This window comes from Homo sapiens, chromosome 8 (genome assembly GCF_000001405.40).
Source record: "Homo sapiens chromosome 8, GRCh38.p14 Primary Assembly".
NCBI lineage: Eukaryota > Metazoa > Chordata > Mammalia > Primates > Hominidae > Homo > Homo sapiens.
This window is the reverse complement of record NC_000008.11, coordinates 17,523,487-17,548,345: the sequence shown is the minus strand read 5'-3', so window position 1 is coordinate 17,548,345 and position 24,859 is coordinate 17,523,487. Positions and strand designations below refer to the sequence as shown.

Sequence of the window (24,859 nt, the reverse complement as noted above, 5' to 3'; positions counted from 1 at the left end):
TTTTTGAGACAGAGTCTCGCTCTGTTTCCCTGGCAGAAGTGCAGTGGTATGATCTCGGCTCACTGCAACCTCTGCCACCTGTGCTCAAACAATTCTCTCACCTCAGCCACCTGAGTAGCTGGGACTACAGGTGTGTGCCACCATGTCTGGCTAATTTTTGTATTTTTCGTAGGGTTGGGGTTTCGCCATGCTGGCCAGGCTAGTCTAGAACTCCAGACCTCAAGTGATCTGCCTGCCTCAGCCTCCCAAAGTACTGGAATTACAGGCACTTAAGCCACAATGCCCGGCCCAGTTGCGAACTTTTAAAAAGTAAACGCTAAAACATTTGTCTGCCATGCACACAAAATACATAAACAAAGATAATACTTCAATTGTGCCAAAAAAGTACTTTGTTAAACCTATTCTCATTTTAATAGCTGTATATTCTGATTGCAAAAGTGATCAATTTCTATTCAAGTACTTTGAAGACACAGAAAAAAATATAAAAAGATCAACCGTGCTTTTCCCTCCCAAATTTTGTAAACACACACACACACACACACACACACACACACACACACTCTTTTGTGCCAGTAAATATATAATCTCATTTTTAACAGCTGCATAATCTTCGACTATATTGAGGTACTACACTTTAATTCATCCCTTATTTATAGACAATTAGATCACTCTTTGTTTGTTACAATTATAAATAGCACTGACATAATAATTCTTTTATAAATATCTTTCTACACTTTCCATTTACTTCTATACAACAATTTTCTGCAAAGTAATACTGCATCAAAGATATGGACTGTTGGTTCCTATTATCAAAATATTCTCTGGAAAGTTTGGCTCAATTTAAAGTATCTATTTTTTCTATTAGGATATTCTATTCATATTGATTATATGATTTGGCTGTGTCCCCACCCAAATCTCATCTTGAATTGTAACTCCCATAATCCCCATGTATCATGGGAGGGACCCAGTGGGAGGTAACTGAATCATGGGGGCAGGTTTTCTGTGCTGTTCTCATGATACTGAATACACCTCATGAGATCTGATGGTTTTATAAAGGGCAGTTCCCCTGCACATGCTCTCTTGCCTGACACCCCGTGAGACGTTCTTTCCCTACTCGGTCACCTTCCACCATGACTGTGAGGCCTCCCCAACCATGTGGAACTGTGAGTCCATTAAACCTCTTTTTCTTCATAAATTACCAAGTCTTGGGTATTTCTTCATAGCAGTATGAAAATGGACTAATACATTGATTTATAAAATTTATTTATATATTAATGCCATAAGCTCTCTACCTGCCATGTACAACAGATTATGTACATGTAGAAAAGTTATCAGACTGAAAAATAAATTTTCCCTTTTTAGTTTCTACCTTGAAAAAAATCTCTTAAACATTAACCCAAAACACCTACTTTGCTTCCTTCTAGTATTTTTCTAATTATATTTATCATATGTATATCTTTAACCCATCTGGTATAAGATTTGAATTACGGACCTAAGAAAGTTTATCTTTTACCATTGAGCAAATGATTGCTGTGAAAAGATGATGCCACAGATTTAGTTGTTTGTTCCCCGTATCTATACCACCCACCATCAAAAAAGCAAATTTTTCCAAGCAGAGATGAAAGAACTTGAATTTTATTTCTACCTGTGTAATTCCTAGAATCATATATTAACCATATAAAGGAAAGCTGTATGGTCAACACAATTCCTGACTCTGTAATTGTAAGTTAGGTTAGGAACCACTGCTATATACCTCAGAGAATAACAAAGCCACCTTTATATTTCATGTAAGTTTCCCAACAGCATATATGCACTGTCTACTCTGAGGTCTCATCTCCCACCGGAAGATTAGACACCAATGAATATCTCATCTAAGCAGAGCATACACTTCCCGTGTATCTTTAGTAAAACAACGGCTTCACGTAAAAAGACATTTGGTGTTACGATATGAATAGGGATTTACATAGGAGGTTTTGATCTTCAGAGATTCTAAGAACAAAGTTAAAACATAAGCTTCACCTATAATTAAAGGAAAGATATGATGGTGAATGAACACAGGACAAATGAGCCAAGACCTGAGTCTTGCTGTGGAATTAAACTATGTTCTAATTGTGTCACAGCTACATGCTCTTCGTCATTTAGAGATTAAAGTTGAATATTTTAAGTTCATTAAAATGATCCCTAAATAAAATATGATGGAAATAATTTAACGCTAGACTGGTTTCTATTTCTAAGCTAGACTGCTTAGAAACCAAAACAAAAATCAATTCTTTGTTGAAAAACAATTGGTGCAACTTCTCTTGACATTAGACTCAAAATGCAAAACATTTTAGATCTACGCACTTTGTTCATGTTCTTATCCCTATCCGTATGTAAAACATTTGATTAATGACTCACTTTTTAAAGGGTAAAGCTATTTTTAAAATTATATAATTTTTGAGTAAACATTTCAAAAGAGAAAGATATTTCTGTCTCACTCTTCTAACAAGGGAGAAAACAGAGATAAGGTCGGACAAGAAAGCATGAGGCAGACTGCCCAGGGTAAAGCAAGGAAGAAGTAGGAACAGACATGGTTTTTACTCTTAGGGCAATCCTTGATGGACATAAGCAGGACTGCAGGTAAGAAGGAGACTCAAAAGAGAAAACGTGGCCAGGCATGGTGGCTCACGCCTGTAATCCCAGCACTTTGGGAGGCTGAGGCAGGGGGATCACTTGAGGTCAGGAGTTTGAGACCAGCCTGGCCAACATAGTGAAACCCCGTCTCTACTAAAAATACAAAAATCAGCCAGGTGCGGTGGCGCGCACCTGTAGTCCCAGCTACTCAGGAGGCTGAGGCAGAAGAATCGCTTGCACCCGGGAGACGGAGGTTGCAGTACCACTGTACTCCAGCCTGGGCGACAGAGTCAGACTCCATCTCAAAAAAAAAAAAAAAAAAAAAAAAAGAAAATGTTCAAATAGTTAAAACAAATATAAGGAGACAGAGCAGGGATTAGCTATGCCTATGAAATAAAATCAGCCACCACGTGAGTGCTTACTAGGAACCAAACGAGAAGGCTATAGGAGGCAGACACTGATGCCCTCATTTTATGTACGAGTGAGGGAAAGATTAAATAAATTGTTCTATGTTCTAAAGCAGAGTGAGTGGCACAGCAGGATTGAAATGTGGTTATTAGAATTCCTGTGCCTCCTAAAACCACTATGCTACAATACTGACAAAAACTGGAAAATCCTAGTACTAAGTATGTTTGCCTATATAATGTCGACATTACAAAATGACAGGTGATTAGAACTTGCTTCCTTTACAATCAAAGGCCTACATTATATAGATGAAGCCATGTCAGAAAAACAGAAATTCTTCTAGAAATTGCAAATATCCCTAGTTGTATCTAGCAAGATGAAATAATGCCAAGAAATTACACATTCTTCCTTACTGAAACCACCGCTATTCCTGCAAACCTGCAATTAACGATTTAAAAAATCAATGTCCTCATCCTATTATTTAGTGTGTACCAGGTGCCATTTACTCAGAAGTGCTATTTTTACCATTGCACACAATTTAGACTTAGGTTAAAATGTGATTCCAGCCAGTGATAAACCCCACAGATGTCTAACAGTGACATAAATGTGTAAATATACTAATCTCATCTTGGGAACTCAGGCCCCAAATTCAGAAGTAACCTATTTTCCTGAGACAAATAGTGTGGCTCATTCTGCAGAGACTCATAACTGGTTTTCTTACCTGCTAGAAGTAATATAAGGCACACAGCAAAAAAATCGGGATATTCTGCAAGACCAGTGTAATTCATTCTGAAGTATGTCCTCAAAAACTGACCAATCTGTTTGCTAAGAAGTTCATCAAAGGTGCCACTCCAGGCTCTTGCAACACTTGATGTACCTTCCCAAAACAGAACAGAGAATACGAAGTCACTGGGGGCAAATTAAAGTAGCATCATTTGCTACTCTATTATAGGATAAACATGAGTTCACAAAAGATTGAAAATTTTAATCACATATACAGTATCTGGATATTTATAATCATACAGTAGTCATCAAATGTTCAAATCCATAACTCTGGAATCAGGTAACTTTATTTGCAATAAAGAATTATAACTTAAAAAGTTTGCAAGCCCACTAAAAGGCATAGTCAGAGATGAAGCAAAAATCACAGAATTTTGTGGCCGGGTGCCGTGGCTCACACCTGCAATCCCAGCACTTTGGGAGGCCGAGGTGAGTGGATCACCTGAGGTCAGGAGTTCGAGACCAGCTTGGTCAACATGGTGAAACCCCGTCTTTACTAAAAATGCAAAAAATTAGCCAGGCATGGTGGCAGGTGCCTGTAATCCCAGCTACTCAGGAGGCTGAAGCAGGAGAATCGCTTGAAGCCAGGAGGCAGAGGTTGCAGCGAGCTGAGATCACGCCACTGCACTTCAAGCCTGGGCGACAGAGTGAGACTGTCTTAAAAAAAACCCACAGAATTTTGTAATTAGAAGGAGACATTTTCGAGATGACAAAAATGAGACACACAGACATCAAGTGATGTACCCAACACCTACAACTGAACCTAAGGGCTGTGACTCAGGGCTGCGATTTCTTCCATTCCACACAAGTTAGATTTCTTTTTGAAACATACCTATCACATACGATAAAATGAGATTCCAGCCAGTGATGAAGGCCCACAGCTCTCCGACAGTCACGTAGGTGTACAAATATGCAGACCCCGTCTTGGGAACACGGGCCCCAAATTCGGCATAGCAGAGGCCAGCCATCACTGAAGCCAGGGCAGCAATGAGGAAGGACACCACGATGCTGGGGCCCGAGTCTGCCTTGGCCACCTCCCCAGCGAGGACATAAACCCCGGCCCCAAGGGTGCTTCCAACGCCCAGGGCAATGAGGTCCATGGTGGATAAGCAGCGGCATAATTTGGTGTCTTCTAGACTGTCCAGGGTCACGATTTTTCTCCGGATCAGACATCGGGCAAAGGTCAGCGCGGCTCTGCAAGGAATCATTCTGACGTCTGACGAAGGCGACCTGAGCAGAAGGGAGGAGGTTAGAAGCTGATCTGGAATTGTCATCCCTCCCTTTGGTAACCTAGCTTCCAGGCACAATTAGAGTATGTGTGTGTGTGTGTTTGTGTGTGTGTGTGTGTGTGTGTGTGTTTCACTTGTTAGAAGAGATGCAGTGACCCAGAGCAGTCAGAAGGAAGGTTTAATAACCAGAGCCTCGAATTTCCTGTAGTTCAATTTCCTGTAGCATACACGTCCCCTTATAAGAGACTGCAATAAATGGCTTATGTGGCAAGCAAAGGAATATAGCAGCCTTGGGTGATTAAAAAGATTTGCCATTCTTGTTTGCATATTATAATTTTGTGTTTCTGTTTTTGTTTGGAAACAGGATCTCACTCTGTCGCCCAGGCTGGAGGGCAGTGGCACAATCTTGGCTCACTGCAGCCTCAACCTCCTGGGCTCAAACAATCCTCCCACCTCAGCCTCCGGAGTAGCTCAACCTCGGGGTTACAGGTGTGAGCCACCATGTCCAAGCTAAAAATTTCCTAAGGATATGTTGATAGAAATATATTTCAAGAGATGGCTAATTTCATTCTCACTACAAGGAAAGGAGTGAATTGCCTCATCTTTTGGGTTCTGTCTCTCTTTACTTCAACCATCCATTTAACTCAGGTTCTTTTTCTTTTTTTTTTGAGACAGGGTCTCACTCTGTCACCCAGGCTGCAGCACAGTGGCGTGATCATAGCTCACTGAAGCCTCAACTTCCTGGGCTCAATCAATCCTCTCGCCTTAGTCTACTGAGTAGCTGGGACCACAGGCATGTGCCACCACGCTCGGGTAACTTCTTTATTTTTCGTAGAGACAGGGTCTCACTATGTTGCCCATGCTGGTCTTGAATTCATGGGCTCACGCAGTCCTACCTCCTTGGCCTCCCAAAGTGCTGGGATTACACGCATGAACCACCATGCCTGGCCCAGATTTTTCAGGCCTTACTAAATACCAGGAATTGTGCTGGGAATATGTGTAGAATGATCTCTTACATAGATGGGGTCTCTAGCCTTACAGGACTTAGCTATCATCTAAAAGCACGTAAAAACTTAATCATTACGTATTCTACAGCTTTATCAAGCATGTGTGAGCTTCTCTGTTTTCATTTTAAACAATGAATGTGAAGCAGATGTGAACTTTTTAGAATTTTTAAAAAATCACCTCTCAAGGCCTGCTGAAATCTAAAAGTGCTATTCAACTATGCTTTAAGTATGAATTTGTACTAAAATACACATGCTTATTATATTTGAGATTTCTAGATAAATAAGTCCAAAGTCCATGCCAAATATTATTCTATGTTCTTTTAAAAATGGAATGAATAAAGTAGACAAAAAGTCACACTCCCCACCTCCTGCAAGCCTAAACAATCTAACACTGAAAAAAAATCAGGTTATAAAACAAGGTGTGAATATTAGTTAAGAAAAAATACATAGGCATATATTACAGTAAAAAGACTTAAAGCAAAACATTCAAAATATCAACAGTAATTATATTTAGATGGTGGGTTCTTCTCTGTATTTCATATGTTACATTGCTAATACCTATTTCTAATTTGTCTCCAATGAATATGTACAACTTATATGCAAAAGAAATATCAAAAATGAAAGAGCTGTACATGGGATTGTCTACCAAAACATATAAGTCAACAGATGAGAAAATAACTGAGGAACATTATCCACACATCAATATAAATATAAATACAAGCTTCCAATAGTGAAAGCAGGTAAGTCAAAGAATATGAAGAAAAGCCTAAGGAGAAATAAAAAATAGAGGACACGTTCCTTGATGATAAAAACAAACTTTCACACATCTTCAGTATCTTCTGTGCCAACCTGACAGAGTGCCAAAGCATGGCACTTCACAAATGCTTATGGGAAAATCTGCAAAGACGTTGACATCTCCAGTTTTGCCCATATTCAGGTTTTCAACGTCAAAACCTATCAATGCTTCCATAAATCAAATGTTTATCAATTTCTACCACTGGCTAACCCTTAAATAGCCCTTTCTCATATATCTAGAAGATAAGTGTTCTGCTTAAAAAGAATTGAGAAGCAAAAAGTTATATAAAAACCAACTGAGGGGGCCAGGAGGGATGGGAAAGGTAGTTACTAAATGCTGAGCTTCTGTAATATTTAAGCATTTTTATACAGAGATGTACAAAGATCAAGGAGTAGGAACCACTGCCAACTGAAAAGTGCTCAGAAACAAAGACCCACTGAAGTTCATTAACGATTTAAGATCACTTGAAAATGAGACATGTCATATACAACTCCGGGAACACAACTGATAAACATACCCATTTGTCATTTAACCAAATAAAACATGCCCATGGTGGAGTACTTAATTAACCTTGACTTTTATGAGAAAAAGATATAAATTCTACGACTATTGCATATTTAAAGAGAAAGGATCTGGAAGGAAGCAAGGAAAACAAAGGACAGATTCGGGGGCTAATAGGATTGTGGGTAAACTTTTTTTAAATCCTTTTTTCCTGGTACTGTGATTATGATGTTATTTGTGAAATTTCTAAAGAAAAAACAGCATAAAAATAAAAGAATAAGCAAGTCGACCAATAAACAAACCTCCTGTGAAAACGTTAAAACAGTAAAAGCTTTTATTATTAAGCTACCCAAAATGAATAAATTAGTGATGGTCATCTCTTCAATACGAAATTGAATTTAATTCACTCCAGATTACACAGGAAGCAGGACTGCTTATAGAAATGCACAGCTTTAATCACATAAGATATGATTTCTACTGCTTCTGTCCTATTTTTTTTTCTTTTTTGGAGGGGTTGGGGGGAGGTCTGTGTAGGCAAATTACTTCTTTCCCATTAAAGATGAAAAGTATTTTATGGGTAGTCAGGTTCTCCATGTTACTCTGGGGAAAAAAGACAAAGATCCCATTTGTCAAGCATTCATTTGCTTTTGAGTAATTAGAAAAACATACGTCAGAAACTTCTCAGAACTGGCAGGTTACTCGATGCCCTTTGCAAACAATCTCAACTACGCACAGCCTGGTAAAATACGGATTGCAAAAGCCACAATGCAGAACTAATTTTGTAGGACTATAATGAGATGGGAGAAAAGTAAGGAAAAAACATATTGGGTCAATTTAATGAGTCATTTTTAAACAAACATTTATTGAGTCCTAGCAGGTGTATCATGCAGTGCTTAGCAGATGAAGAAAGTGTATCTCGTACTTTTGTAAAATATGCTTTTGTCGAGACACACTGATATATGAAAGGAGTGTGGCAACAAGAGAATGAGAAAAAAAATTTGTGTCTAATATTAGTGATATAATTTGATATGTACATATCTTTGAAGTTTTTATAACTTTAACATTTTTAAAAAGATAAGCTCCCCATATGAAATGGTTATGACCATCTTACTCTCATTTTTACAGGGGACTTACTGCCCAAGAAAAACATCCCTCCTACTTATACAACAAATACGAATGCAGAGATACAATGCAGGGGTTTTGGAGGTGATTCCATTAATCTGGAGGGCATAGACTTTGTTTTTCCAGGAGCAGATGATCTGCACCATTGTAACCATTGTCAGTTATTGCTACTGTGACCAAGGACTCATATTTAATACGAAACCTACACGCATGTAGTATAAGAACAATGATGCAGATTTTGGGAAGTGGCCCATACAAAACTCACACCCCTGTCCTTGGCCTTAGAATATAAGGCTCTGATCAACATCCCTATGAGGTCACAAGTGATTCTGGCAATACCAGAAACAGATATCTTTCTTCAATAAGCAATTATTTTATTAATTGCTGAGACAGTGGCGTCTCTTGAGGAAGATAAATATGTGCATATTAGCTTAGATCTGAAAATAGAATTAGCGAAGGGAGGGCTGGAAGGAACTAGCAATATGCTGTGCTGCAGAAAAGTCTCTGAATGATTTTCATGAGCCTAATGATACATGTGAGATCTTTCTTAGCCCCACGCCCATTGTGCCCCAAACTTAAGTATAACCATTTCTACGCACCTTATTCCTTGATAAGTCCCTATTAATTCTTGCCAAAAAGCTAAATTCCTTCCTCAGCAACTTGGAATTACCTCCTTCTAAAACTTCTTCAGCCCAGGCCATCAACTTGACAGTATAGAATTTTAGGTCTAGTAAATCCCTAACCCTGATGACATTGACGGAGCAAACTTCCTTTCAACGATTCCAGGAAATCTTTCCAAATCTGCTAATCATAGTCACAAGTTGATCCTGGATTTTCACTTTAGTTCAAAAGTTTGAAGTTGCATTGAGTCACTTAGAAATGAATCTTTCCCTTCCTCCCCTAAGTAAAGGTTGACATTTCAAACTTAATCTTCTATATCAGTATCCCAGGCCCTGACAATAAATCTTACAGGAGAAACTTGCTGTCGCAAACCGGTGGGGCAGGTGTTCCAATAAACCCTCGACAAATTAGTTTGTCTGAGTTATAACCACTTGTTTCTATCTTCATTCCAGTTGCTAGTTTCGTGGTGAGACATCTGCTCTTTCTGTTTTGGGACTGATGGAAAAAAAAGTAATTAAATCGTATAGATAAGTAGGGATCTTTACCATACTGTTTTTGCCCTAGATCTTTTTTATTTTGCAATGTCCAAACCCAACGTTTCTACAATGTTAAAGTTCCAAGATAAATTTTCAAATTATAACGTGGGTTAAATAATTTAGTAAAGAGGAAAAAGATATAGCCATGATACCATGGATTTATTGACTTTTATTCTTTTTGCTAAGTTTTGAGAGATTAATTTCTTTACAAATTCATCAAAAGTATAATGTAGGATAAAAGACTATCACATGTGGTAACTGTTCAGCCTTGATTAGCAAAAACAGAAACCACAAAACTTGGCATTCAGTACTTAAGCCTGAATCTTTCTGGAAAAACACAGAACACTCTTCCATATTCACTTCACTTTTACTGGGTCCAAAACTTATCTTTTCTCCAAATCAAGTCTTCTGAATAATTTCTTCCTCCAGAGTTTTCTCCAGAGAAGTTCGTGCAAGTGTAGACATAGGTAAAAACAAAAAACACAACTGAGGCCACTACAAAGTTACAAGCACTGTAATAAAACCATTGATATTTTCTCCCATTTTATACCAAATCAGTACTGCCAGGAAGTTAGACTAAAAACATAGTATTTCAAATTTTCTGATATAGAATCCAGACATAGGCAAGCATTTTTCCCAAAGACATTCAACAAATAAAGGGCTGATAGAGAATTCTGGGAAGTCTGTAAAGACAGCTGCTGCTTCCAAACATGTGACTCCATTTCACTTTAGTGAAGGCAACATCACAGTGGGAATAAGGCATACCTAGTTAGCTCAAAGAGATGCAGAAAAAAAAATTAAATGAAGCATCCAACTTTTGTGTTTAGGCTTGGGGAACAGAAGAAGCAAAACTTGAAATGAAGAAAGCAAAGCCCTCAGCACCTTGGTAACCGGAGTCCCTGCCCAGTCAGCACACTGCGTTCCCAACCAGAGCTGGGTGTCAGGCTTGGGCACCAGGCAGATGCCCATGCCCGTAGGTCTCCAGCAATCTTTGGCTAGTATGTCACTCTGACTGCCAGTGGGTACAACCTGTTCCCTCTCCCCAAGCTGCTAGGACCTGTCACCTTATATGTGCCTTTGCAAACATGAGGAATGGCCCCTTCCAGAATTTTTTACCTTACCTGGGATCCCGCCACTGCCTCCTGCCCTCCCCACAGCACTGTCTTCATACCCCGAAGCCAAGGATCACTGGACCAGAGAGACATCTGACTCAGGGTTAAACAGTCAAAGGCTGGGAATGCTCAATTAGATGTTCTTGAAGCTCTTACGAACAAAATGATTAGGTCGGTCAAATGGTCTAGTGCAGGCTGAAGTCACACACACTGGGGACCAGCTTGACAAGGTGCAGAAACCCACAGGCTGGCAGTAGAAGCCACACAGGGTGGGCTGGGCACGGTGGCTCATGCCTGTAATCCCAGCACTTTGGGAGGCTTGAGGAGCACTTGAGGTCAGGAGTTTTGAGACCAGCCTGACCAACGTGGTGAAACCCCATCTCTACTAAAAATACAAAAATTAGCCAGGCATGGTGTTACGTGCCTGTAATCCCAGCTACTCGGGAGGCTAAGGCAGGAGAATTGCTTGAACTCAGGAGGCAGAGGTTGCGGTGAGCCAAGATCGTGCCACTGCACTCCAGCCTGGGCAACAGAGCGAGACTCCATCTGAAAATAACTAAATAAATAAAAGAAGCCATACAGTGTTCATTCAGAGGAGGACAGTCTTGTGAAAGGCAGCTGCCCCAGCAGGGAGGCAGGGCAAGAGGAGCCTGGGGAGCTTTTCTGTCCCCCCAGGCCTTGCTGCGCTTCTAACGCTGGGTGTGCAAGATTCCCCGACATGGTTTGGACACACCTCCTGTGCACTTCAGCTATTTAGAGTGGTCTCTGTTCCTTGAAACCAGAAGCTAATGGCGAAGGTCAAGATGGTACTGAGCGGGCCTGCTTCACCCCACTCTACTCCCACTGTCAACTCTTCCAATCTGCTACCTTCAGCCATTTCTGCTACATTTCCTGGGAATTCCTCTTCTTTCCAAAAGGAGGTTTCCGTGATAGAATAACTCTAATTTGTTCACTTTCCAATACCGTACTTAAAGTGTTTAGCCTGCATTAGTTCTGCCCTTTACCCACAGACGTATATACTCTCTCCTTGAAAAAAATAGCTTGACATAAGGTAGAATTGTTTGTTCGTTTGTTTGTTTTGTGGCAGGCTGGAGTGCAGTGGTGCAATCTTGGCTCACTGCAACCTCCGCCTCTCGGGTTCAAGTGATCCTCCTGCCTCAGCCTCCCAAGTAGTTACAGGCACCCGCCACCACATCCAGCTATTTTCTTTTTTGTATTTTTGGTAGAGACAGGTTTTCCCCATGTTGGCCAGGCTGGTTTCGAACTCCTGACCTCAAGTGATCTTCCTTCCTTGGTCTCCCAAAGTGCTGAGGTTACAGGCGTGAACCACTGCACCCGGCCAGAATATCTTTTCTTTTTAGACATACATACAACCAATCTGGATTATCGGTAACATCATTTCTCCCAATGCCCACTGTTGGAATGAGGAGCATGTAAGAGCTAGTCAGGGCCCCAGGAATACCAAGGGCTCTACAGTACTTACTAAAAACATTTAAAACTTTTTTTTTTTTTTTTGTGCCAAGGAATTATGGAAGTAAGCTAGCGGCAGAGCGATAATTCATGTAATGGAGGAAAGGATATCGAGGGAAGCACCGGGAATATTTTACCATACTGGAGAAGGTTTTTTAAGCTTCCTGAATCAGAGAAGTCTCTACAACACTTAAGACTTCAATGTTAGTGGGCTATCTTTTGTTAAAAAATGTAAAAAAAATTTTTGTTTTGAGATGGAGTGTCCCTCTTTCACCCAGGCTGGAGTGCAGTGGCATGATCTCGGCTCACTGCCACCTCCGCCTCCCGGGTTCAAGCGATTCTCCTGCCTCAGCTTCCCAAGTATCTGTGACTACAGGCGCCCACCACCACACTTAGCTAATTTTTGTATTTTTAGTAGAGACAGGGTTTCACCATGTTGGCCAGGCTGGTTTCGAACTCCCTACCTCAAGTGATCCGCCTGTCTTGGCTTCCCAAAGTGCTGGGATTACAGGCGTAAGCCACCGCGCCCGGCCAAAAATGTAAATTTCTTATAAATACTTCCACTACTTTATTCGTTCCCCCAAATACTTGAGGCACCCTATCAGGCCCTGAAACAACCATAAATAGGCTGCCCCAATTCTTCCCTCGTGCCACCTGCAGTTGCACAGACACACAGATGATGGCCATTGCAATATGAGACAGCTATACTTGTGCATAGGGGAAGCAGGGCACTGCAAGGGCTCCTAACTCTGACTGTGACGGGGATACAGGTAGTTAGAGAGGTCTTCCTGGAGACAGCTATGTTTGGATGAGTTAAATTTAGCCATCTGAAAGCTCAGTGAGAAGGAGGGCGGGAGGGGGCGGTGGGGACACAAGTGTTCTAAGCAGAGGGTGTACACAGCAAGAGTAAACAAGTAGAGGGTAGTTCAATCCACATAGAGCTTAGGGATGGGGAAGCCAGAGGTAAGCAGAGCTAAGCAGAAGGGTCCCTAGGCCATGCAAGGAGCTTGAACTTGACCCTGGTGGCAATAGGAAATCACTGAGAACTTTAAGCCAGACGTAGAATTTGAGAAACATCATTCTGACTGTATCATAAATAAGGGATGAGAAAGATCAAGACTGGAGATAAGGAAAAAGGTAAACAGGCTACTCAAATTATCTAGGCACAAGGGACTCTTAGCTGCTCTAGGGGAAGGGCGGTGGGGTAAAGAGATACAGGTGGACAACAGAGCTTAGCTTCTCCACCTTGAGAGTCAAGGAAGAGGATGAGTGGGAAGGGACACACGGATTTGTAGACTATTGAGCGCCTATTTCACTCCAAAGTTAAAACATTAACTTTACATGCCATATAGTTTACAGATAAAAATAACAGAGAATCAACAAATTATGTCAGATTGACTTCAGTGTAACTTTGTGCAAGGAGGGTACTGTTTTGTCTTGTTTTTTTTTTTTTTTTTTTCCATTTGAAACTTGCACTCCTGTTCTAAAACTGAAAAAGCAAACACATAGAGATGTTAAATACATGCCTCAAGAATACAGCTAAAATTTCCACACTGAGCTCCTTGAATTGTCAGAATTCCAAACAGAGTAATATTTGGCATGATATTTTCATGGAACAGAGTATTTTAAATGAGTGGGTTTTCTAGCTTACTGAAGATTCGATCTCTGAGTCTTGGCAATGCCCATCAAATCTTGCCACAGTTCAGTAACCCTCCTCTAAATGCTGTTGGATTTCAGGGTGGTTATCCGTTGTGATGACAGGGGTCCGAACTGCTCATCCTTACAAAAGGGTAATCACTTCTCAGAGAAACTGTTTAAAAAGATGACCACAACTGTTGTTTAAAAATCAAACCACTCAATATTACCTTAATTCCACTTTGAATCCACTGTCCACATAAATTAGAGCTAACTCAAGGATGCCAAGGAAATCCCAAAGACCTGGATGAAACCATGTTCCTGCTGCCCTTTTTAAATAGCCTGTGCCCATCAATAATAGACAGGATAAAGAAAATGTGGTATATACACACTATGGAATACTATGCAGCCATCAAAAGGAACAAGATCATGTCCTTTGCAGGGACATGGATGAAGCTGGAAGCCATTATCCTCAGCAAAATAATGCAGGAACAGAAAACCAAAGACCACATCTTTTCACTTATAAGTGGGAGCTGAGCAATGAGAACACATGGACATAGGGAGGGGAACAACACACACTGGGGCCTGTCAGGGGGTGGGCTGAGGGGAGGGAGAGCATCAGGATAAACAGCTAATGCATGTGGGGCTTAATACCTAGGTGATGGGTTGACAGGTGCAGCAAACCACCATGGCACGAGTTTACCTATGTAACAAACCTGCACGTCCTGCACATGTATTCTGGAACTTTAAATAAATAGCCTGTGCTTGGGAAGTGACCTTCACTTTTCTCTGGATTAGTAACTGACTTTCAGATTAAAGATGCCAGAAGTATGTGCATGGACCAGGAGGGTAGTGGAGTATAAGAAAGCTTTTTGTCTAAAAGCGAAGAGCTGAGAAATACTTTAGAACACTCTGGTTTCCTGTAATTATTCTCTTTCCAAAGAGAGCCAAAGTGTATCCCTTTCAAATCACCACCCTGCACCCACCCCGTAAAAGTTACCTAATTTAATTAATTGTTAGAATTCAATCACTTTTGTCTCAATGCTAGGCAAAATTCTTTCCTTCAACTGTGGCAGAAGTGGAATTTAACCAGAATTCACATTCATTTTCAGTTCAAGTTCAAGAAATTTAGAGGGAAACTGAGTTGAGATTTATGGTTTTGCTGAAAAGTCATTTATTGAAACAAAATGGTCACTTTTGAAACTATATTTTGAATTCTGAAAAACACGTTCTGATTTGGTTCTTCTTAAAACACAGCAACAATGTATGAGCATAGATTTTTATCGTTAGCTTCTTGATAGATTGTTGAAATGCTGCTATTGGCTCAGAGAAGTTTGCAAGTTCATACTGGCTTCAGATAAATCTGAATAAAATACTCCCATTGTGTGCTCAGAGAAAGCAATTAAAAGGGTGCTGGTTCTTCATGATTCAGAGCCTCTAAAATTTCTATCTAGAACATGCAAACCAAGAACCATTTACAAAATTAAAACAACTGGAAATAAAGTGGTCCTTAAAATTGAAGGTCCTTAAAACTGAAGGTCCTTAAAACAAGGCCACTATAAAGGTTTTAGAGGACAGAAAAGTAAGTTATAGTTTAAGTTTTGTTTTGGGGTAACAAAAGATTAAAAAATGAGTGTTGTTAAAAAGAAATTTGAGAAACTCCATGAGTAGTACGATATATGTGTATATGGATATATTTTTAAAATTTTTGCTTAGATTGCAGGGCGTCTAATGCTTTTTATTTTTATGAATTATATTCTTTGTAAAACCTACTTTTCACACTTTATTTAAATACTTTAAAATTCCTATTGATGTGCTTGTCACATTTCTATTCTACTTATTAATATGCCATAAATGTGAACAATTTCTCCAATTAAGTTTTCTCCAGACTTTGTTTTAATTTTTATATTAACTGCATAGACTGAATTCAACTTATTAGCTGTTCAACAAACTGTCAGTTTCTCTAAAAGATCAAGACTTAAGACATTTCAAAAAAAGCAAAAAAATAATCTAAAGGCAATTTCCAAACAAAATTCCAGGAGGCAAGGGGATACAGGTACAAAAGGACAAGTAAACTGGCCATTACCATAAAGCTTGATGTCTGTGGGTAAGGGAAGTCCAGGGTACTACTGGCACACACAGGAGGGGACTCCATGCTCACACTGGGATTGGGGTCAGGAGGCAGCAGGGAAGCTTTCCTGGGGAAAGCCATGACTAATCTGATTCTTCAGCCATTATTCCTCCCTAGAATTGCTGGGGTTTTTTTTTTTTTTTTTTTTTTTTTTTTTTGAGATAGAGTCTTGCCCTGTTGCCCAGGCTGGAGTGTAGTGGCGCAATCTCAGCTCACTCCAACCTCCGCCTCCCGGGTTCAAGTGATTCTCCTGCCTCAGCCTCCCAAGTAGCTGGGATTACAGGCACCGCCACCACACCTGGCTAATTTTTGTAGCTTTTTTAGTAGAGATGGGGTTTCACCACGTTGGCCAGGCTGGTCTCGAACTCCTGACCTCAGGTGATCTGCCCACCTCAGCCTCCCAAAGTGTTAGGATTATAGGCATGAGCCACCGTGCCCAGCCACATTTTTTTATTAACTAAGAAATATCCATAATCTTTAAGACTCATTTTGAAATTTTGACAATTTATTTAATCAGTCACTTCTAAAATCAATTAGAAGTCCAAATTTTCCTCTTTGTTACTTTACTTGAAACAATTCCTTCCTTGGAAAAAGATCTTGAATTTTTGCACAAAAATTTAATGGCAACTATAGTTATTTCCCTGATAAGTAGAAAAAAAAACCCTTAAAATAATCATATTAGTCTATAAAGTCTTAATCAGAAATTCCTAAAAACATGCATTTTGATTTTTAATTCTGAATAATAATAGCTTAAGTTACTATAAAATTTAAAATTCAAACCATCTCATAAATATAAAAACTATTTTGGAATCATTGATCAATAGGAATTTTAAAATATTTAAATAAAGTGTGAAAAGTAGGTTTTACAAAGAATATAATTCATAAAAATAAAAGGCATTAGACACCCTGCAATCTAAGCAAAAATTTAAAAAATATATCCATATACACATATATCATACTACTCATGGAGTTTCTCAAATTTCTTTTTAACAACACTCATTTTTTAATCTTTTGTTACCCCAAAACGAAACCTAAACTATAACTTATTTTTCTGTCCTCTAAAACCTTTATAGTGGCCTTGTATTACATACAATATACGGCCATTGTACAGCTGCAGTATTTTCAAATAAGAAGACTGTAAGAAGAGAGAGAAACTCCCTTCCTCCCCGCTCTTGCTGCTTCTTTATAAAGAGGAGTTTCATCTGACCTTCAGGTCTTTCAGCACTAAGATGCAGACAGAGAGAGAGATATCCTATCTTAGGCTCTGAATTACACCATTTCCAGGAAACCAGCCCTGTTATCTCCCAGCCCTGACTTTCAATGACAGAAGAGGAAGCAATTATTTGAAACCACACCGTATGGAGATTTGTAAATGAATTAGCCTTCCTTCATTTTAAATACGCTTAGAAATATTTAGAAATATCAGCATACTTTAAAATAACAATTAATGCTTATTAAATTTAAATTATTATATAAAGAATGAGATTTCAGTTTTAAGGCTTTGAATCTACTTACTGGCTGGATGCAGTAGCTCACACCTGTACTACCAGCACTTTGGGGGGCCAAGGCAGGAGGATCACTTGAGGTCAGGAGTTTGAGACCAGCCTGACCAACATGGCGAAACCCGTCTCTACTAAAAGTACAAAAATTAGCCAGGCATGGTGGCACGTCCCTGTAGTCCCAGCTATTCAAGAGGCTGAGGCAGGAGAAACGCTTGAACCTAGGAGGCAGAAGTTGCAGTGAGTCGAGATTGCACCACCGCATGCTAGGCTGGGTGTCAGAGAGAGACCCTGTCTCAAAAAAAAAAAAAAAAATCTATTTACTCACACTTGTACCTAATCTGCCTTCTGCCAACTAACTTCAGCAACTTGCCTGGGTTTCCAAACCATCCCTCTGTGACCTGGCCCCAGCCTGGCTTTCTAGCCCTGCATGTTGCTATTCTCCAACGAGTACTGTAGCCCAGTTTGTCCTCCTACTACCCTTAGCACATAAGTCTTCTGGCTCACATAAAGGTGAAAAGGTTTTGACTGAACTGCATGTATCCAGCTGCCCCCACCTTGCCCCCTTGCCCTCTCCCTCTGTCCCGGCTCCCAGGCCATCCGAGCTACTGCAGGGACACAGCAAGAAGGTTCTTTCTTATCCTCTCTGTCAGCTCCTGAGCTTTCCTTCTGACTCAAAGAAGCAGCGGCGGACCGGGGATGGGGGGCAGGGGGGAACGTAGAAAATTAAAGCTAAGAAACCAGGCTTATTTATATAGCACGGGGTAGGAGGCAGGGAAAAGCTAGCAGCCTGAAAAATGAGAACCTCCCGCTCATTCACCTGCCAAGAGAAGCCGGCAAGAGAGATAAGAGGGTGTGGAGAAGTGCTGGTGTTGAATGCAAATGGGGTCTCCTTCAAGACGTATTAGGTTGGTGCAAAAGTAATCGTAGTTTTTGCTACTGCTTTTAATGGCAAAACAGCAATTACTTCTGCACCCACCAGCCTAACACAAGGGAAGGTTGAAATTCCTTTTCAAGGGACTTTTGGCAGCTTCTTTGAAAATGTCCCTCTGGGCCAGGCGTGGTGACTCACACCTGTAATCCCAGCATGTTGGTAGGCCAAGGTGGGCGGATTACTTGAGGCCAGGAGTTCGAGACCAGCCTAGCTAACATGGTGTAAAACCCCATCGTTACTAAAAATACAAAAATTAGCTGGGCATGGTGGTGGACACATATAATCCCAGCTAATCGAGAGGCTGAGGCAGGAGAATCTCTTGAACCCAGGAGGTAGATAGAGGTTGCAGTGGGCCAAGATCACATCACTGCACTCCAGCCTGGGTGACAGAGCAAGACTCTATCTCTCAAAAAAAAAAAAAACAAAAAAACAAAACCAAAAACAAAGAAAATGTCCCTCCGTAGAGACTGAGCCCCATGGCACTTGGGTAGGATTGACACTTGCTTATACAATGTGTCCTCTTGCTCCCCCATCCCCAATGAAGGGAAAACTGCTATATATATACCATCACTTCTAAATAGTATTTCGCTGGCCATAAATGACTGGCAATTGAGCCCTAGAAATGAGCTTGATAGAACAAGTCAACTAAGGGCAGCAGAGAGAACATTAAGAAAAGGGAAGAGATGGTTGTACGTACACAAGACGTGTGGTTAAGGACAATTACTGTGATTGCAGCAGACTGTAAGGAAAACCAGTGCTACTGAACAGAGTGCAGCAGAAGTGTCTAAATAAGTCTGCAAAGGTTTTTAAATGAATTTCAATTATTTAACAATCCCCCAGTAACATTTAATGTTAAAGCCTTTATAATGCTTTTTTATTATAAAGTACATGTAAATACATTTTAGAAATCTTAACATCACATTTGAAACTCTAGTGGATGCTTTTTGTGGGGACCCTAGAGGAAACTGGTCCCCTCTCATCTTCCCTTCAGAATTCCTTTCATCCCCGACAGGCGGCCATGTTGTATGGGCCCCGAGAGCCCCGAGTTTCAAGGACATCCTGTCTTCTCCTTATGCAGCTCTCAATGCTTTTATTTCATGGAGCTCTCCTCCTATAACTCTTACCCATTAGTCTAACTCTGCCCTAAGAACAAATAAAGAAAAGTCTTCTCCTTCAAGTAATTCCAAATAGCTACCTTCCCAAGATTTCTCTCCCCTCATATAAATATATTAATTCAAAGTGTAATGACCAGGCCGGGGGCAGTGGCTCAGACCTGTAATCCAAGCACTTTGGGAGGCGGAGGCAGGCGGAGTTAACTTCCTCAGAACCCTAAGCCTTTGACTGCCCTAGGAGTTTGAGACCAGCCTGAACGACAGAGCAAAACCCCGTTTCTATAAAAATTAGCCAGACATGGTGATGCGCACCTGTAGTGCCAGCTCCCTGTGGGGAGGCTCAAGTGGGAGGATCCCTTGAGTCCAGGAGGTAGAGGCTGCAGTGAGCCATAATCATGCCACTGCACTCCGGCCTGGGCAACAGAGTGAGACCCTGTCTCTAAAAAAACAAATAAACAAAAAAAGCGTAATGGCCACACCGAAAAACAGTCATTAGCTTAAAATATGAACCTCTCAAGAAAACAAAGGGTTCCAGATGTAGGGAGGCAAATATAAAGCCTAATTAGCTTATAATAGTCCTCCATTTTGTCTACTTCTATTAATTCTTTTTGCTTTGTTCTTAAAAACCACCTCGACAGTGTACGGAGCTCTGCTGGGTCTGCTCCTCCCTGTCTCCTCAGCTGTCTTCTGCTTCCTCCTCCTCCACTTGAGCTGCCCTGGGCTCCTTTAACTTCCTCAGAACACTAAGCATCTGAGTGCCCCAGGGCGTTCTGCACTGTTGTTTCTTCTTCCTGGAAGGTTACTCCTTCCCCTCTTCGCCTGGATGGCTCCCAATCACCCCTGACACTCCCTTGAGCTAAATTAGGTCACCCTGTTCTCACAGAACTCTATTTTTATGTCACATAAAAAAATCCTAATTAGTCAACTACTTAGATGAAGACAGATTTTACTCCTTGTTATGTATTGAATTGTGTCCTCCATCCAGAAAAATATGCTGAAGTCCTAAAACCTGGTACCTTATTTGGTGACCTTACTGGGAAACAGGGTCTTTGCAGGCGTTATCAAGTTAAGTCACTAATCCAGTAACACTGGTGTCCTTATAAGAAGAAGAAAATGCCATGTGAGACACACGAAGAATGCCATGTGATGACAGAGGCAGAAATTACAGTGACGCAGCTGTGAGCCAAGTAACGCCAAAGATGGATGGCCACAACCAGAAGCTAGAAGAGGCAAGGAATGACCCTCCCCTGCAGGTTTCAGAAGGAGCACAGACAGTCCAGCTGCCACCTTGATTTTGGACTTCAAGTTTCCAGAACTGTAAGACAAACTATTTGTTATTTTAAGCTACCCAGTTTGTGGTACCTTTGAATGGCAACCCTACGAAATTAATATATTCCTTTAGATTACACGTTTCTTGAAATCGAGGTCTATATTTATTCATTTGTCACATCCCCAGTGTTTTCCCAGTGACTGAAACATGGATAGGAGTAAACATTTGTCCAATGAATGAATGAGGGAGTGAATGATTTATATTTGGTTTGTAGTCGGCTAAAACCCTCATGTCTTTTTTCTCAAATATTTCTATATAGCGTGGTCCTCTTGGTTCCATTTTGCTACACTGATTATTTTAAAACCTAAATTCAGCATTTTAAGTTTCATATTATTTGAGGTCATGTTATAACACAAGTCTGTCAATCATGCATTAAGTACCCTACCTACCTGTGTATCACTGCAAATTTGAAAAGCAGGTCTTCTATGTTAATCCAAATGAATGATTTTTAAAAGTTAAACCTGACAGAGCCAAGGGCAGAGTACCATGGCATGCCACCAAGATGTCCCTTCAGGATGATACTGACCCATTGATCAACACTCTGGTATTATCATGCAACCAACTGGAAATCCACATTTCTCTCGAACTTATCCCCAGGTTATCACAATATATTAAGTGCTTTGCTGAAATCCTAATACATTATGTTGAAACTTTCCAAATTCGCCAGTGTAATAATCGTGGAGAAAGAGGGCATGCAGTTCGTTAGGCATAACGTGTTCTTAGTGAACTCATGATGCTTTCTGGAGATCAGCTACTTCTCTTCCAACTAGATACCACACGCTGCTGAAATTTTTCTGATGGATGGTCTTCAGCTCCCTGATCCATGGTTTCCAGCATCTACATTGGCTTCCAGTTTGAAAATAAAGGTGACTACCTCTTTCCTTTCTTCTTCTCTCTTCCTCATACTTCAGGGCACCTCCAAGATGATCTCTACTCACTCCACACACACACATCTAAAAATTCCTCCAACATCATGAGATGTAATTCATCCAGACCTGAAATTGTGAACTAGTTTTAACAGTGAGGTTCTCTCTCACCAACTCGGGCTTCAGGTCCTTTTCCATCATGCGTCCTGTCCTCCTAGTCAGGTGGCCCTTCTTTGTGTAAAGACAAAAGCAAAATAGAGATTTAGGAGCTCTGCTTCCCTGTCATCTGCTGCCACCATACCAGGCCTCTCCTTTCTTGTTCGCCTTCCTATTTTACAAGCTTCCAATCAACCATTTCTTTGCCATTTTTCACAAACCCATACTTTTTACTTTATTCTTCCACCTTTTAAATCTGAATCCCTCAAATGAATTCCCATGGCAGCTACAATGAAACCTTCTGGTATCCTCCCCTCTTGTTCCTAACTCAGAGCATTCGTTATCAGACTAGGATTTTGATTGTATTTGTCTTTTCTTCTTGCCAAAAAGCATCACCTTTTAGGGTTACAGTCCATAGAATTATCTTCATATTTTCTCTGGGTATTTAGAAATCTGCTTTTTAAAAATCTAGGGTATAGAGATTGAGTCCACTAGCTAGTCATGAGGGAATGTTCTAAGGTATATGCAAATTACTTCCCCATCATGAAAAAAGACAAACATTCTATGAATACTACCAAAAAGTAAAGCTTGTGTAAATTTTTTGAACTTCCCAAACTCTCAGTACTCAGCCTCCCTATTTCATGTATCTTACATCACCAAAGACCAAGTTTGTTTAAGAATCCTTCACTGGAAGGTTTCAGCAAATCCCGCTTGCAGGAATGTGCTGGTTTGCAAGCAACAGAACAGTATTTCATCATCTACCTCTCTAGCACCATCCAGTTGCTTAATGTACCCTGAGTGCAAACTCATACACAGCCAATCACTGTTGAGGCATGTAGGATTCTACCATGATAATTTAAAAGTAACCAGTTCATTGTCAAATTAAAACCCTAGCAAACAAATCCTCCCGGATTATCACCTGCACCTCCCTCAGGACTCGCCACTCCTACTGTTCATACACCCAAACCCGTATCTGTATAGTGTCCTTTTTCTAGGACATCTTGCTGTGAATGCAAAGATAACTTGTTGAGAAATAAAAAGAAAATGGGACAAATACTAATAATTGCCACTGTGATTTTTGGCCACTTTCTTGTTTCAGATTCTAGAGCTTGTTTCTTATTGCATATATTTAAGGTCTACATCATGATGTTTTAATATACATAGTGAAATGGTTATGACAGGCAAGCAAATTAGCATATCCATCTGATCACGGTTATCCCCTTTTTTAAAAATAAGACTTCTAAATACTCTATTTTCTTCAAGTAGAGGAATACTCATAATGAAGATAGGCCTTCTAATGAGGGAGAAGAAGAGCCCAGCATCTCTAAGACACCCAGAAAGAAACCCATTATTCAACTTAAGAAGTCAAGGCAAACTAATCTGGTGGGCTGAAAGGATCCTTTTAATAGATAGGATGTGATGTAGAGAATGGGGGGAATATGTGGAAAAATGGTTCTGTGTTAGATTACAACTCTGTCTAGATGCAGGGAGAGAGCTGAGCTCTGAGTCATCCCTGACCCTTGCCCCAGTCAAAAATTTTTGGTAATTTCTCCACTTCCAAAAGTTAAAGTGCTATCACTATAAGCAGCAAGTGAGCACAGGGAAATTCATCAAGTATGCTAAGAACTTGCTCCTGATTGCACACTGGCTCTGTATGTTAATCCCTGCTACAAACAAGCTAAAAAAAAAAAATCAGGATTAGATGCGGAAGTCACAACTATGTACATAAATACATAAGTTCTTCAGCGGTGATTTCAGGTGCACCCATCACCCGAGCAGTGTACCCTGTACCCAGTGTGTAGTCTTTTATCCCTCACCATCCCCAACCCTTTCCCCTGATTCCCCAAAGTCCAGTGTATCATTCTTATGCCTTTGTGTCCTCATAGCTTAGCTCCCACATGTGACTGAGAACATAACAATGTTTGGGTTTCCATTCCTGAGTTACTTCACTTAGAATGATAGTATCCAATTCCATCCAGGTTGCTGCAAATACCATTATTTCATTCCTGTTTATGGCTGAGTAGTATTCCATGGTGTGTGTGTGTGTGTGTGTGTGTGTGTGTGTGTGTACACACACACACACATATATGTATATCTCACATTTTCTTTCTATACTTGTTGATTGATGGGATTTTTGAGCTGATTCCACATTTTTGCAATTGCAAATTGTGCTACTATAAACATGCATGTGCAAGTATCTTTTTCATATAATGACTTCTTTTTCCTTTGGTAGATACCTAGTAGTGGGACTGCTGGATCAAATGGTAGTTCTACTTTTAATTCTTTAAGGAATCTCCACACTGTTTTCCATAGTGGTTGTACTAGTTTACATTCCCACCAACAGTGTAAAAGTATTCCCCTTTCACCGCATCCATGCCAACATCTATTCTTTTTTGATTTCTTGATTATGGCCATTCTTGCAGGAGTGAGGTGGTATTGCATTATGGTTTTTGATTTGCATTTCCCTGATAATTAGTGATGTTGAACATTTTTCCATATGCTTGTTGGCCATTATTTTATCTTCTTTTGAGAATTGTCTATTCATGTCCTTAGCCTACTTTTTCATTTTTTTTTCTTGCTGATTTGTTTGAGTTCTTTGTAGATTCTGGATATTAGTCCTTTGTCAGATGTATAGACTGTGAAAGTTTTCTCCCATTCTGTGGGTTGTCTGTTAATTCTGCTGATTATTTCTTTTGCTGTGGAGAAGCTTTTTAGTTTAATTAAGTCCATCTAGTTATCTTTGTTTTTGCTGCATTTGCTTTTGGGTTCTTGGTCATGAACTCTTTGCCTAAGCCAATGTCTAGAAGGGTTTTCCCAATGTTATCTTCTAGAACTTTTATGATTTCAGGTCTTAGATTTATGTCTTTGATCCATCTTGAGCTAATTTTTGTATAAGTTGAGAGATGAGGATCCAGTTTCATTCTTCTACATGTGGCTAGCCAATAATCCCATCACCATTTGCTGAAAAGGGTGTTCTTTCCCCACTTTATGCCATGTTTGCTTT

General features: G+C 40.3%; 1 protein-coding gene across 12 annotated transcripts in view, besides 2 other annotated features; it reads right to left on the bottom strand.

Moving 5' to 3' along the window:
* Window positions 1-24,859, bottom strand: part of SLC7A2 (solute carrier family 7 member 2) — a 76,498-nt gene that overhangs the window by 22,221 nt on the left and 29,418 nt on the right. For 10 of the 12 annotated variants that reach the window (XM_047422113.1, XM_047422114.1, XM_017013746.2 and 7 more), the window contains 2 exons: window positions 4,631-5,028; window positions 3,740-3,895 (listed from right to left, as the gene is read on the bottom strand). In XM_047422113.1, coding sequence (XP_047278069.1) covers window positions 3,740-3,895; window positions 4,631-5,006 — 532 coding nt within the window. In that variant the 5' untranslated portion in view covers window positions 5,007-5,028. Of the gene's footprint in view, window positions 1-3,739; window positions 3,896-4,630; window positions 5,029-9,423; window positions 9,570-24,859 lie in introns of those variants that run through there. The other 2 variants (NM_001164771.2, NM_003046.6) reach the window with 1 other exon arrangement.
* Window positions 10,167-10,666: an enhancer, noted in NCBI's record as "H3K27ac hESC enhancer chr8:17395189-17395688 (GRCh37/hg19 assembly coordinates)". NCBI's record gives its function as "activates a minimal SCP1, AML or CMV promoter by ChIP-STARR-seq in naive H9 embryonic stem cells {active_cell/tissue: H9 hESC(naive)}" and the evidence as "EXISTENCE:reporter gene assay evidence [ECO:0000049][PMID:30033119]".
* Window positions 10,667-11,168: an enhancer, noted in NCBI's record as "H3K27ac hESC enhancer chr8:17394687-17395188 (GRCh37/hg19 assembly coordinates)". NCBI's record gives its function as "activates a minimal SCP1, AML or CMV promoter by ChIP-STARR-seq in naive H9 embryonic stem cells {active_cell/tissue: H9 hESC(naive)}" and the evidence as "EXISTENCE:reporter gene assay evidence [ECO:0000049][PMID:30033119]".